The 13,109-nt window shown below is 40.2% G+C and overlaps 1 protein-coding gene across 3 annotated transcripts in view, besides 1 other annotated feature; it reads left to right on the top strand.

Annotated features, from left to right (window-relative positions):
* The first annotated feature begins 10,703 nt into the window (after window positions 1-10,703).
* Window positions 10,704-13,109, top strand: part of CA10 (carbonic anhydrase 10) — a 529,711-nt gene continuing 527,305 nt past the window's right edge. The window contains exons 1-2 of one of the 3 annotated variants that reach the window (NM_001082534.2): window positions 10,704-10,803; window positions 12,358-13,001. In NM_001082534.2, coding sequence (NP_001076003.1) covers window positions 12,941-13,001 — 61 coding nt within the window. In that variant the 5' untranslated portion in view covers window positions 10,704-10,803; window positions 12,358-12,940. Of the gene's footprint in view, window positions 10,804-10,925; window positions 11,455-12,012; window positions 13,002-13,109 lie in introns of those variants that run through there. The other 2 variants (NM_001082533.1, NM_020178.5) reach the window with 2 other exon arrangements.
* Window positions 11,164-11,458: a silencer, noted in NCBI's record as "tiled region #175; K562 Repressive non-DNase unmatched - State 23:Low". NCBI's record gives its function as "represses a minimal TATA promoter and a strong SV40 promoter by Sharpr-MPRA in K562 cells {active_cell/tissue: K562}" and the evidence as "EXISTENCE:reporter gene assay evidence [ECO:0000049][PMID:27701403]".

Genomic DNA, 13,109 nt, shown 5'->3' with positions numbered 1-13,109 from the left:
AACTCCTGGTCTCAAGTGATCCTCCCCCATCAGCCTCTTGAAACTCTGGGATTGCAGGCATCAGCCACTATGCCCAGGCCCCCTACACCTCCTTAAGAGCCGTTGTAATTAGAGTATATTAAAATCAATTTTTCTTTGAAAATCTTATAAAACGTCTAATGGTAAATGAGAAGAATTTTAGAGTAGCGCCCACTTTCTACTTGATAGAAAGCCCTATTATTTATCTTTGTTTATTGAGAACTTTCCAACAAGCTAACTCAAGTGATTATTGGTTGAGCTGAATCCAATAACTCAAACATTATTATGGCAACATCTCCAAAATTACTACCATCTTCATCTGAAATGTACTTATGCAAGAGGAGAAAATAGAGCTTATTCTGCTCATTTTATTTCCAGCAAAAATTGACTGAAGTATAAAGGGCAGGTTGCCAGTCTGTTTCCCATTTCATGGGAAGGAAAATGAGAAACAGCCACCAGAAATTGCTATTTTATCATAAGAAAAGTTGGGCGAACACAGATGAAAACAATATAAGTTTTTACTTTAATAGTTGATCATTTAAAATATATTTAAGATTTCATTCACATTCATTTAAAAATCTATTTTCCTAAAGAAATAATAATTTATGGAACATGAAAATGGAATATCATCTTATATGTAATATTAACTCATACAAGTCTCAAAAGATTCATTAAGGAAAGCATTTGAACTAATGAGATAAGAACCATTACTTAGTCATATGTTTATGTGACATTTACAACAACCTTGATATTTTTCAATACCTGACAATGGCATGTTTATATTTTTGTAGGAAAAACTCTACTCTTTCAACCTTTGATCTCAATTGTTGTTAACTCCATCATAAAATTATGGCTACTCACAATATCTCCTGTCCTGCTGGGCAGGAGGCTCTTTTTGTTTTCGTTAGTTTTCTTCTCTATCTAGTAGCAATCAGAGAACGGATTCAGAAATTTGAGGGTTTTCTGCTATGGTAACTCAACTCTTACTTTATTACATCCACACAATAGAACCAATGAGAAAAAAAAATCTGTTGTTGAAGCTGGATACAATTCAGGAAATCTCATTTGCAGGAGAAGAAAATTAACTAGATCTCTGTAGCAGGGTCTTATCTTCTGTGTTGATTTGGAAATGGAATTCCTTTCAGAGCCCTCCAGTTGCAGTATTCCTCCCTTGCTGAACTTCCTCAATGCTCTGAATAAGTGGCATGTTATTTCACCAAGGATTTGATGTTTAATACTGTTAAGGTGTGTGTTTGTGGTGGTTGGGTGGGGCTGGGAGGATCTCTTTCCCCAAAAGTAGGCTGCAATGCTGGTGAGTGCATACCCAGGACTGAACCTGTGGTCAAAGAATGGCCCTTTAAGGAGATGTGTGTAAAAGCATGGTCTTAAGGCACTTGATCCTGAGATATCTCATACAAACATGAAAGACCCTACATGAATCACTTGACCATGGAAGCAGTGGCCAGGAGCAGAAAGAGAAGGGGAAGGGGCCATGGGCTTGGGGGAGGGAAGACTCTTGTCCCATACCTCTGACTTTTCATAGTGGATATGTCTGCCACACCCATTATTTGTTAATTTTCCTAATAAATAAATGAGACATATAACTCTATAATCTAGCATGTAGACATTGCTGAGTAGAGAACTACAAAGAGTCTTTCAAGTGCAAAATGAAGCTTAAAACTTGTAATTTTAATGCTAATCATTGGGAAGACAATGTAAAAAAATAATCTCAGCAAATAGTTTTAAAACCTAATGTGTCAGTTGCTAACTCCAAAATTATGCAAGCTGTAGTGAAAGCAGACTGTTGTGCTAATTTAAGCCTTTCTTTATACCTAAGAACCATTATGAAACTAAAATATTCTATACTGATCTATAACTGCTACCCGATAGGGCAGTTGGCTCACAGAGAAGAGCGAAGCATTCCTGTTGGTATAAAACTTCACTGGAAATTGCTTAATGTAAAATAAACACACACCACCCCATCACACCCGCACACATACACACACACAAATGGTCAGGTAGAGTTGAAAGTGCATTGGACAGAAAGAGACAATCTAAGAAAAATGTCTCCCACTAAAATGCCTGGTTTTGGCTAATACATTTGCCATCTATGTTTCAGCTGTTGCACTGTGTTACTTGGTCACAAAAGAAATAATGATGGGAATGGAAGGTTTATAAAAACTAATAATTAACTAGGAAGGCTGAAATTCTGGCCCTGCCCCTGCTTTTGCCTTTGTTGAACTCGGACACATCACTTGACCTAATCTTAAGCCTCCATCTTCCCACATAAAAAATAAGGGGGTTGGACTACATTAGGACTGAAAGTATATTAATGTGCACTTACAATGTATTAGGAAACATTTATCATCAAATTCATTACAAAAAATGGAAGAAAAGTGGATTTATTTGAATAAACAAATAAACAAACCTATTCAATTTTTCAGCAATCTTTTACAGAATGCCTGCTATGTACTCATTGCAAATAAGTCTTCCATTTTTAAGATCTTGAGTTAAGGAGACTGGATATATGAGAGAAATTCAATAAAAAGGAGAAAAGTGTAACATGAGTTTCACTAACTTTCAAAATGATGCCCAAAGCCTTAGCCCAAGTGCCACAATCTTAATGTGAACTATTTCATCAAATTCTTTATCCATCTGCCAAAATATAAATAGTAAATAAGGTATAGCATTTTAATTCTTTGACGTTGGACACAAATTATAGTATGGGTGAGAAGAAAGCCTATTTTGAAAATATAATGAGCACTGGTGGTAATTAAACTATTATCTATTCCGATATCAAAGAGAGGTAAATAATCTATTCTCCTAGTGGTATGTGTCATTTCAGCATCCTCACATTCTTTGTCCAGAGAAATGAACTGTATCCACTCAAATACCTTAACATTTCCTCTTGATAGACTCATTTATAGAGAACAAGGTCTCATACCAATTCCTCAAATAACTCACATGAACTCACTATTGAAAAATGTAAGGTACATTACTGTATAGATTAAAAAGTGGCAGCTTTTTTTTTCAATTACTTTATGAGAAGCTCCATTGATCTACACTTGGCACTCTTCATGTGACCCAAATCAATCTGCTTGTGATAGGTAGAATAATGACCTCCTAAAGATGTTAACATCCTAATCCCTGGAGCATGAGAATGTGTTACTTTACATGGCAAAAAAGATTTGACAGATGTTATTAAATTAAGGTTCTTGTGATGGAGACTATTTTGAAATATCCAGTTGGGTTCAATGTAGTCATAAGAATCCTTATAAGGAAAAGAGAAACTCAGAGGAGAAGAGGTGAGGATGAAAGCAGAAAGTAGAGTAAAATCATTTCTGGAAGACAGCCATGAGCCAAGGAACATAAACAGTATCTAGAAGACAGCAAAGGCAGGAAAAATGTTCTCCCTGAAAGCCACCACAAAGAATCTGCCCTGCCGATTTGTTTCAGATTTCTGACCTTCAGAAGTCAAAGATACATTTTTTTGTTTTAGAGCCTTATGGTTGGCGAATGCATCCATGTGCTGAGAGTGTGGCACATCCTAACTCCATGGGAGAAGCTCCTGGGCTCAGGGCCCTTCTGGACCTTGTCCTATCTACCGCTTCATTGGTATGTTTTATGATAAACCAGTAAATTTAAGTACAAATAAATATATAATAAATAAATAAATGCATTTTTGTTATTTTACTAAGTATGTAATAATTTATTGCAGCAGATATAAGAAGCTAATACACAGCTTGACAGCCCCAATCTTCACACTGGATAGCAGATTACTAGTCCTCCTTTTGAAGTTCTTATTTCCCTATTAATTTTTTTAAAAATATAATGGTCATACACTTTCTTCAGTGTTTTTATTTCCACCTGACCTTCGTCTACACTGAATATCTTTTAATTTTTTTATTTTTAGTGTTTATGGATATGTAATGGGTCTATATATTTAAAGAGTACATGAGGTATTTTGACAAAGGCATGCAATGTGTAAAACTCACATCAGAGTAAATGGGGCATAGGGTACCCATTACCTCAAGCATTTATCATTTACAAACACTCCAATTATACTTTTTAAGTTATTTTTAAATGTACAATAAATTATTATTGACTGTAATCACTCTGCTATGCTATCAAATATTAGATCTTATTTATTCTATCTAATTATATTTTTGTGCCCATTAACCATCCCCACTGCCCTTCCCAGCCTCTAGCAACTATCATTCTACTCTCTATCTTCATAAGTTCAATTGTTTTCTTTTTTAGCTCCCACAAATTAGTGAGAACATTTAACATTTGTCTTTCTGTGCTGGCTTATTTCATTTAAAAAAACCCTATGATTTTATCCATGTTATGTCAAATGACAAGCTATCATATGTTTTATGGTTGAATAGTACTTACTGTATATATGTACCACACTTTCTTTATCCATTCTTATGTTAATGAACCTTTAGGTTGCTTCCAAATCTTCAGTATGGTAAATAGTGTTGCTATAAACATGGGAGTGCAGATATCTCTTCTATATACTGATTTTCTTTCTTTTGGGTGTATTACCTTAAGGGTGGGATTGCTGGATTCTAGTTAGGTCAGTGCAAAAGTAATTGCAGTTTTGCCATTACTTTCAATGGCAATCACTTGCATAACTAAAAAAAAAATATGGTAATTTTTTGAGGAATCGCCAAACTGTTCTCCATAGTTATTATACCAATTTACATTCCAAACAACAGGATATGAAGTTCTCTTTTCTCCATATCCCCACCAGTATTCATTATTGCCTGTCTTTTGGATAAAAGCCATTTAACTGGGATGAGATGACATCTCATTGTAATTTTGATTTGCATTTCTCTGATGAACAATGATATTGAACATCTTCTCATATAGCCATTTGCCACTGGTATGTCTTCTTTAAAGAAATATCTATTCAGATCTTATGCCCATTTTGAAATCAGATTATTAAATTTTTTTCCATTGAGTTGTTTGAACTCCTTATATATTTTGGTTATTAATTCCTTGTCAGATAGGTAGTTTGGAATCCCTACTAACTCTTGGGGAGTCCCTTCGGGGTTGATTCATCTGTTCATAATCCCTGTTATCACCAGTGTCTTCACCATCCCCCACCTCTGTTCTGCCACAGGTCTGCCCTTTGTGTCGCTGTCCATTCTACTCCATGATTTGAGGTACCACCAAGGTTTGTTTCCGCTTCTCCTACCATCTCCACATTGGTTTCAGAACTCTGGCAATTCCCCTCATCATTTTAGTCCATGCGTTTGCAGGGAATTTTTCCAAAATAAGTTACAATGTTTATAAATAGTTATCTGAAGAGCTGGTAGAAAGGAATAACATTGAGGCTAACTTGTCACTGGTTACCAGATGTGATTACTCTCAGATCAGAGTTACATTGCCAATTTTATTAGGTCACTTCAGTGTACATTTCTGTCTTATAAAGCCTTCTTCCCTGACTAGCTCACAGCCCACAACCCAATCACAGTATTCAGCTTTCCCAGCACCATTATACATGCCCGCGAGTGTACATAGACACTTTAACCTATCATCCTTGCTCAATGAACAAAGCATTTGTTGCTAAGCCACAGTCTAAGGCTCATCTTTCGAGTCTTTATTTCTATCCCAAGATCTGCCTCTCTCCAAGTCTGGCAAACCTGGGTATTTTCCACTGTCTCCAAAGGAAATCTGCCCAGTTAATAATGGAATTTTACCCTATGGTACCAACAGGATAATTACTTTATAATATAATAATCCAATACCTGTAAAGCAGATAAAGATATAGCTACAACATCAGAGCTATTTGTTTTACACCAGAGCTTACAAATTGCGGAGACATACAACTCCTTTTAATATTTCTCAAAGTTTAAGTAATTTAGTAGTAAGTAACATCTTGTGCAGAGAAACAACAGTTCGGTAATGTTGAGTTTCTCTAAGCCTAGTCCAGCCACACTTTTAAAAATATCTATTTATAATTACAGTTTCTGCCTTATATTTTCAAAAAACTAATTCATTCATTTGGCTGGATTATTATCAGGTATAACTGACCTAAAACAAACTGCATGTGTTTAAAATGTATATTTTGATAATTTCTGACATATGTGTACACCCATAAACCATCAACATAATTAAGATAATTAATATAGCCATTAACCCAAAAAGTTTCCTTACGCTGTTCCAGTCTCTCCCTCCCATTCCTCCCCATTTTCTGGCCTGCCTCCCCAGGCAACCACTATTCTGCTTTCTGTCAGTGTAAATTAGCCTATACTTTCTAAAATCTCGTATAAATGGAATCATACTATATGCACTCTATTTTATCTGACTTCTTTCACTCAGTGTAATAATTTTGAGATTAATCCATGTTGTTCCATGTTGCAATAGTTCATTACTTTTGTATTGCTGCATAATTATTTCAAAATTCAATTGTCTATTGATTCGTTGATGGGCGTATGGGTTGTTTTTAGTTATGTCTATTACAAATAAAGGACTACGAACATTTGAGTAAAAGTATCATATAAACATTAGCTTTTCTTTCTCTAGGATAAATATCTATGAGCAAAATGGCGACGTCATATGCTTTATATATATTAATATTTAATTTTTTAAAACTGCCAAACATTTCTCTAAAGTCGTTGCATAATTTTACCTGACCAGCAATGCATGAGAGTTCCAGCTGCCCCACATTCTCACCAACTCTTGGTATTGTTTTTTATTTTGTTTTGCTTTGTTTTTAGTTTTAGCCAAACTAATATATGTATACTGGTATCTCATTGGAGTTTTAATTTTTATTTTCCTAATGACTAATAACGTTGAGCATTTTTCTATATTCTTAATTGCCATTACTATATCTTTATGGTAAAGTGTCTATTCAAATCATTTGCCCATTTTAAAATTTTTGTTTTAATAAATTGAGTTTTGAGAATTATTACCTATTTTGCTTACAAGTCATTTGTGCCATATATAATTTCCCAATATTTTCTCTTAGATTATGACTTTTAAAAATTATTTAAAATTATCTTTTGAAGAATATTAGTTCTTAATTCCAACAAAGTTCAATTATTTTTTAATTAATAATGATATTAGTGTCATCTGTAGAAAATCTTTGTCTAACCCAAACTTACAAAGATTTTCTTTTATTTATTTTGAGTAGTTTTAAAGGCTTGGGTTTTACATTTAGGTTTATAATCCATTTTGAGTTCATCTTTTTTTTATATAGTGTAAGGTATGGATTGTAGTTCATCTTTATTTTTTCTCAAAAATAGACATCGAAATATTGAAAAGGCGATTTGTTAAAAAGACTATTCTTCCTCCAAGGAAATGAGTGTGCACCTTTGTTGAAAATCAACTCAATCAATATATGTCAGACTATTTTTAGACTCTCTCTGTTCTATTGATTTGTCTATATTCTACTACATTGTCTTGTACTACATTGTCTTGATTACTATAGCTTTATAAGCCTTGAAGTTACATAATTTAAATATTCCAGCTTTGTTTATCTTTTTCCAAAGTGTTTTGGCTATTTTAGTTCCCTAGTATTTTTATATGGATTTTAGAAACAGCTTGACAATTTCTATTTAAAAATTTGCTGGGATTTTTATTAGGATTATATTGACTCTATAGATCAGTTTGGGGAAAATTGGTATTTTAACAATATTGAGCTTTCTCATTCATGAACATGGTATATCTTTCCATTTATTTGGGTAATTTTATCTTTTTGGTAGAAGTTAGGGGTAGCTTCATCACTAACTTTTCTTTCCCTCTGGCATCTAAGCAATTAAAAATAGAAACATTTTCTAAATGGGAATGGGACAGTCCTTAAATAGAGCTTGATGTGTTTTGAAGTGGCATTTTCCAATTATTCACCCCAAATTCAAAACTAGAACATCACTTATAAGGATGGTTGGGTCTACAAAGAAGGCTCTAAATATGCTTTCCCAGCCACATGCATGATTGTGACTGGCCCCAGAAAGCTAAGTACTGCAAGAAAGCAGAGACCTTACTAGCTCTGCTCTTTGAGAGTGGCATACAAAATAAATATGCATAGGTACACACACTAAAATTGTGAGCTCACTGTGCCTGAAGGTAGCATTACCAAGAAAATAGAGAAGTGGGAAGAGGTATAGATTTCCTTTGTCTTCTAATACAGTGTGCTTGGCCTCTGATAAATGCACCCTAATGAAAGTCAAACTCTTAAAAGTTTATCATCAGTTGAGTCATCCCTTCTTCTATGGCGTTGAGTGAAAGAGAAGGTACAGGAAGAACCCAAAGGAATTTAATATTATTCTCTCTTGGAAAATGGAAATATAATTCCTTGCTTTCTATAGGACAATTGGTATCTCTCACACTTGGGTGGGCTTGGCCAAGACTCTCTGTTAAATGTGTAAGATACTTACACTTGATTTGTAGTGCAGAAATGTAGAGGAGTAGGAAAGGAACAAAAGATAAAGGCGGGTATGATGTGGAGAGATTCTTTGTAGTTATTTAGATATACATATAAGCACATTAAAATATGAAAACGTCTAAGAATATTTTCTAGCTTCATGGAATTTTTTTCCCACATTTATTTGGTTTGTTTTTTGGGCTAAAAAAACAACAAAAAAGAGAGGCAGAATTTACTTAAATTTAAAGGCTTCTATTTAATGCATTTTTTTTTACTGAGTTATTTTCTGTATTAAGATGGTGAATTTCTCAGAAAAACATATAGCAACCTACTCTAGAAATGTAGTAGCCTAGAAATGACTCAAAAATGTATGGCTCTTTCTTCTAGCAATTGCTAGTATGGAATCAATATGTTGGGGACTATTGTGTTCACTGCTGTATTCCAAGTGCCAGAACCAGAACTGACATCTAGCAGGTGCCAAAATTCTATCATTAGAAACGCTTTTGATTACTTCTGATTCCCAGTGATCTTTTCCTTATCCCAACTAATGTAGTTGGGTTCTAAATTGCATTGTCTACCATTAAATTTTAATACCACCTTTGATTAACTTCCAGCTGTCATATGTGTACTTCTGTTCTCTTTAAGTGCAAAATAACCTCCCCAAGATGATATTTTTCATTTTACAGAGCATATAAGGAAGTGGTGTGACATGACTTCTGAGTTTAGACTTTCCAGCTATGGTCTCTACACTACTGATTTGCAGCTGTGGAGCCTTGGGCAAATAACTACCCTGGTATTGTTTTATTGTCAGTAAAAGGGAAGTGATAATGACATTTATCTCACCATCACATTATGATGATTAAATGAGATAATTTATGTAAGGGATTCAGAATCTTCACACATAGTCTTCACACATAACAATCAATACACATAATACTTCACACACAACAATCAATACACTCAAACTTTTTTTAAACTAACAAATACTGTCATGTGAGTTGCCTTTTTTAAAAACTGAAAGCACTTAGTGGCAGATCACAGATTAAATATTCTTTGGGAATGCTGGAGGTGAGTATGCAGACTGAAAGGGTGGAAATAAAGTATTATTTTACTGGCATTGGCTCTTAAAGCAGAATATAGAGGGATATATGGTCTGCAGATTTTTTTGAAAGCAAGGATAATGCATTTTCAATTACAAAGCCCAAGCATCTTGCCACAGTGTTTGACACATATAAGACACTTAATAATTGCAGAATTCATTAGTAAATGAGTGGGTAGTGACATAAAAATTCAGGCACCATGCTTCTGCTTCCAGAGGAGAGACCTCTTCTGCCAGCCTATCTCCCCACCCAAGCAGGGATGGTAGGTCGCTGTCCACGGTTCTGAACTCTCACCAGGCTGGAATCTGCTCATCTTTGTCAGACTGCTTTTTTTTTTTTCTTTCTCCCTCTCTCCTCAAAAAAAGAAAAAGAAAAAAGAAAAAAGAGAGAAAGAAAGAAAGAAAGAAAGAAAGAAAGAAAGAAAGAAAGAAAGAAAGAAAAAATAATAATAATTCTTCATGCAGTCTACTTTCAAGGCACGGAGACAAATGCCCCCATATATTTCCCAAATGGGCTAATTCTCACTATCCGGAATTCTTTTAATGTTCTGAAGTTTCATGCTTTTCCCTGCTGAGCCTGGAAGCTCTCTACATAAGAATGCTGGATTTATTTCATCTGGGCCTAGATTTTTAATGTGTTGACCACCTAGAGTCCTTGGCCTTTGTTTCACAGAACAGATCTCACGGCCACATCTCCTTCTTTAAGAGTAGGCAGGTCTGTCGGCGGTTCCTTTTTCGAATCCCTAGAGTCGGTGGGACTACGTAGCTCTGGCTCCCGCAGCCGCCCAGCCCAGACAGCTCAGAGAGCTGCTGATCTGCTCTGCGTTCTCTCTTTTTCCTCCCTCTTCTCCCCGCCACTCAGCAAAAAGACCCGCCAGACTCCTGGGCAGTTGGAGTCCCTTCAAGAACCCTGGGAGCACTGTAATGTAACTCCTTTAGCTCCCACTCCGCACCCTCAGATGTCGCACAGCCTGGGTGCTGGGATCAACACGGGAAGATTCACTAGATTGACTCTGTGCGGATGAACGGGCACCCTTTCCTTCCCCTCCTCCATCTCCACTTATCTACCCTTTGTGCAGTTCTTAGACCGAGGTTTATACTGAAATAGCTTCTAAACATCAAATATTAAAAGTGGATAAAAAATCCCCGCGGGGTATGTGTGTGTTTGTGTTTGTTATGTGTGTGTTCATCCGCGCTTGTGCAAAATCTCCTAACGTCACAGTTCCCAATCGGGACAAGCGCGCCGAGAAATCCTGGATCTTCCCAGGGATTCCCTCTACGCTCCCTCCTCTTCTTCAATAACCCCAAAGAGGTAGGTTTGAGCTTTCGCAAACCACCACTGCAGCGATGGAAGCAGACAAATCTGTTGAGATTTTGTCTTTCCCCTTTCGTTCCCAGCCCTCTTAGGCAAGCAGTTCTGAGCACAGGGTTTTCTTCAATTCCCCTGCATCCACACTGCAACCGGGTGCAAGTCTTTCCTAGGTTATAGACAGCCCGCCTCCCCACGAGACCTTCTGCGGACTGGCTGCCCCTGGCCTCGGCCTGGGTGGGTGGGTGGTGCTCGCGCCGCCCCTACTTTCCCCTGGGGCCCTGGAGAGCCGCGCGCTGGGTGTGTGTGTGTGTGCGCGCGCGGGTTTGGTGGGGAAATCTCCTTCAGTGGAAGCTGCTGAGTGTCGTTGGCGGAAAGTATCCTGGAGCCCAGCAAAAGCCTCCAAAGCACTAGAGCTTCCCTAAAGAAAAGCAGAATAAAAGAAAGACAAGAAGGGAAGCCCGTTCCTCTAAAGCCCGGGTTTCCAATAGTCCCGGATCCTCCTGGAGTTGGGCGAAGGCGCAGTTGGCAGCAGCCGCTGCTGGCACCCGGACTTGGAAAGGCGGTGTTCCCCCTTTTCGGGAGGAGGGAGGCAGGGACTTGCAGGCAAGAGTTGCACCTGGTCTAGGAACCTGCAGAGAAAAGAACTCTGGGGTAAGTAGTGTTCTGGCACTGGCACGGAAAGGGGTAAAGGGTGGGGGGCATGAGAGGGACGAAATGGAGAGGGCAGGGAATGAATTATGCAAAAAAATCTCCAATATTTCGCAGCGGAGGGAGAGCACAGCACAGCACTCCCAGGATGAGTCCTGCCTGGGTCTCCCGCGCCGAACCCGCAGCACGAAGTTCTTTTTAAGAAGAGAAACTCGAAAATCCTGGAGGGTAACAGAGGCAGCCAGGGCGGGGCGGAGTGCGGAGGCGGCTGCCAGGGACTGGGGCCGAGGCGGCGGCCAAGGTGGCCTGAAGCTGTGACACCCAGCCTCCTCCTCCTCCTCCTCATGGCCGCGCTCAGCCTCACCTCCCCGCCCGGGCCTCCTGCCTCCGCCCCCGGGTGCCGGGCTGCGGAGCTGACGCTGGGACGCCCGGCGGCGGCGAGGACGCTCACCTGGCCAAGCCTCCTTCTCCTCCTCCCCCTCCCGCCCCCACCTGTCCTCCTCCTCTCTGAGTTGGGAAGCGTAGGGATCCGTAGGCGAGGAAATAACGACCCCTGCAGTTGTATTGCGGAAAATCTCGACAGCGGCGCTAGTTGCGGGCGATGGAAGCCAGGCAACTGGGGGTTCTGGGGAGTTCAGGAAAATAGCAGAGGAGCAGGAAGGGCGCGCGCGACCTGGAGAGTCTGTGTGCCCCCACCGCGCCCCAGTCCCCGGGGCCCAGCCCTTCCCCTCGGCGCCCTGGACGCACTGCCGGAACCCGGCTGAGAGGCTGCAGGCTGCGCGCGGACCTGGGGAGCAGGGAGGGTCGGCGGAGGCTGCCGGCGGCTGGCGGTTTCGGGCAATAATCCCTGCCTCTCTTTCTCTGTGTGTCTGCTGTGTCTGCTCCTTCCCCGCCCCCCGGAAGCAGGAGAAGAACTGCCCCGGAGCGCAGCAGCCACCCTCCGACCATGCCCCGGTGAGGGGGGCGGACTTCGAGGGCAACTTGCCGCGGACTGCCTGGGCTTAGCCAGCGAGCTACGCGCTCCCGGGAGCCCGGAATTGCACGGCGCAGCCCGGCGGGGGGCTATCGTCTATGTCTTCTTGGGGCGCCAGACGAATCGGGGTCTCGTTTTTGCTGGAAGAGCCCAGTGTTGGTGGCTTCAGGTGGCTGCTGCCGCCGCCGCCGCCGCCGCCGCTGCTAGTGCGGTTTCCGCCGCTGGTGCGAAGAGAAGAGACACGCGAGCGGGGAGACCTCCAAGGCAGCGAGGCATCGGACATGTGTCAGCACATCTGGGGCGCACATCCGTCGAGCCCGAGGGGAGATTTGCCGGAACAATTCAAACTGCGATATTGATCTTGGGGGTGACTGTCCCTGGCCGGCTGTCGGGTGGGAGTGCGAGTGTGCACTCGCTCGGAAGTGTGTGCGAGTGTGTATGTGTGTGTGCCGTGTCGGGCTCCCCCCTTCCCCCCGTTTTCCCGTCGAGTGATGCACTTGGAATGAGAATCAGAGGATGGAAATAGTCTGGGAGGTGCTTTTTCTTCTTCAAGCCAATTTCATCGTCTGCATATCAGGTACGGGACGCGCCGAAGTCACTGGCTGATTTGGATTATGTTGTGATGTCTGGGGTGTATGGGGTTTTATTGTATATAGCCGCGGGGCAGAGAGAGGGGTGGCGAGAC

The sequence above is a fragment of the Homo sapiens genome, chromosome 17 (assembly GCF_000001405.40).
Source record: "Homo sapiens chromosome 17, GRCh38.p14 Primary Assembly".
Taxonomy (NCBI): domain Eukaryota; kingdom Metazoa; phylum Chordata; class Mammalia; order Primates; family Hominidae; genus Homo; species Homo sapiens.
Note: the sequence above shows the minus strand (reverse complement) of the source record. Positions and strands in the feature narration are given on the sequence as shown.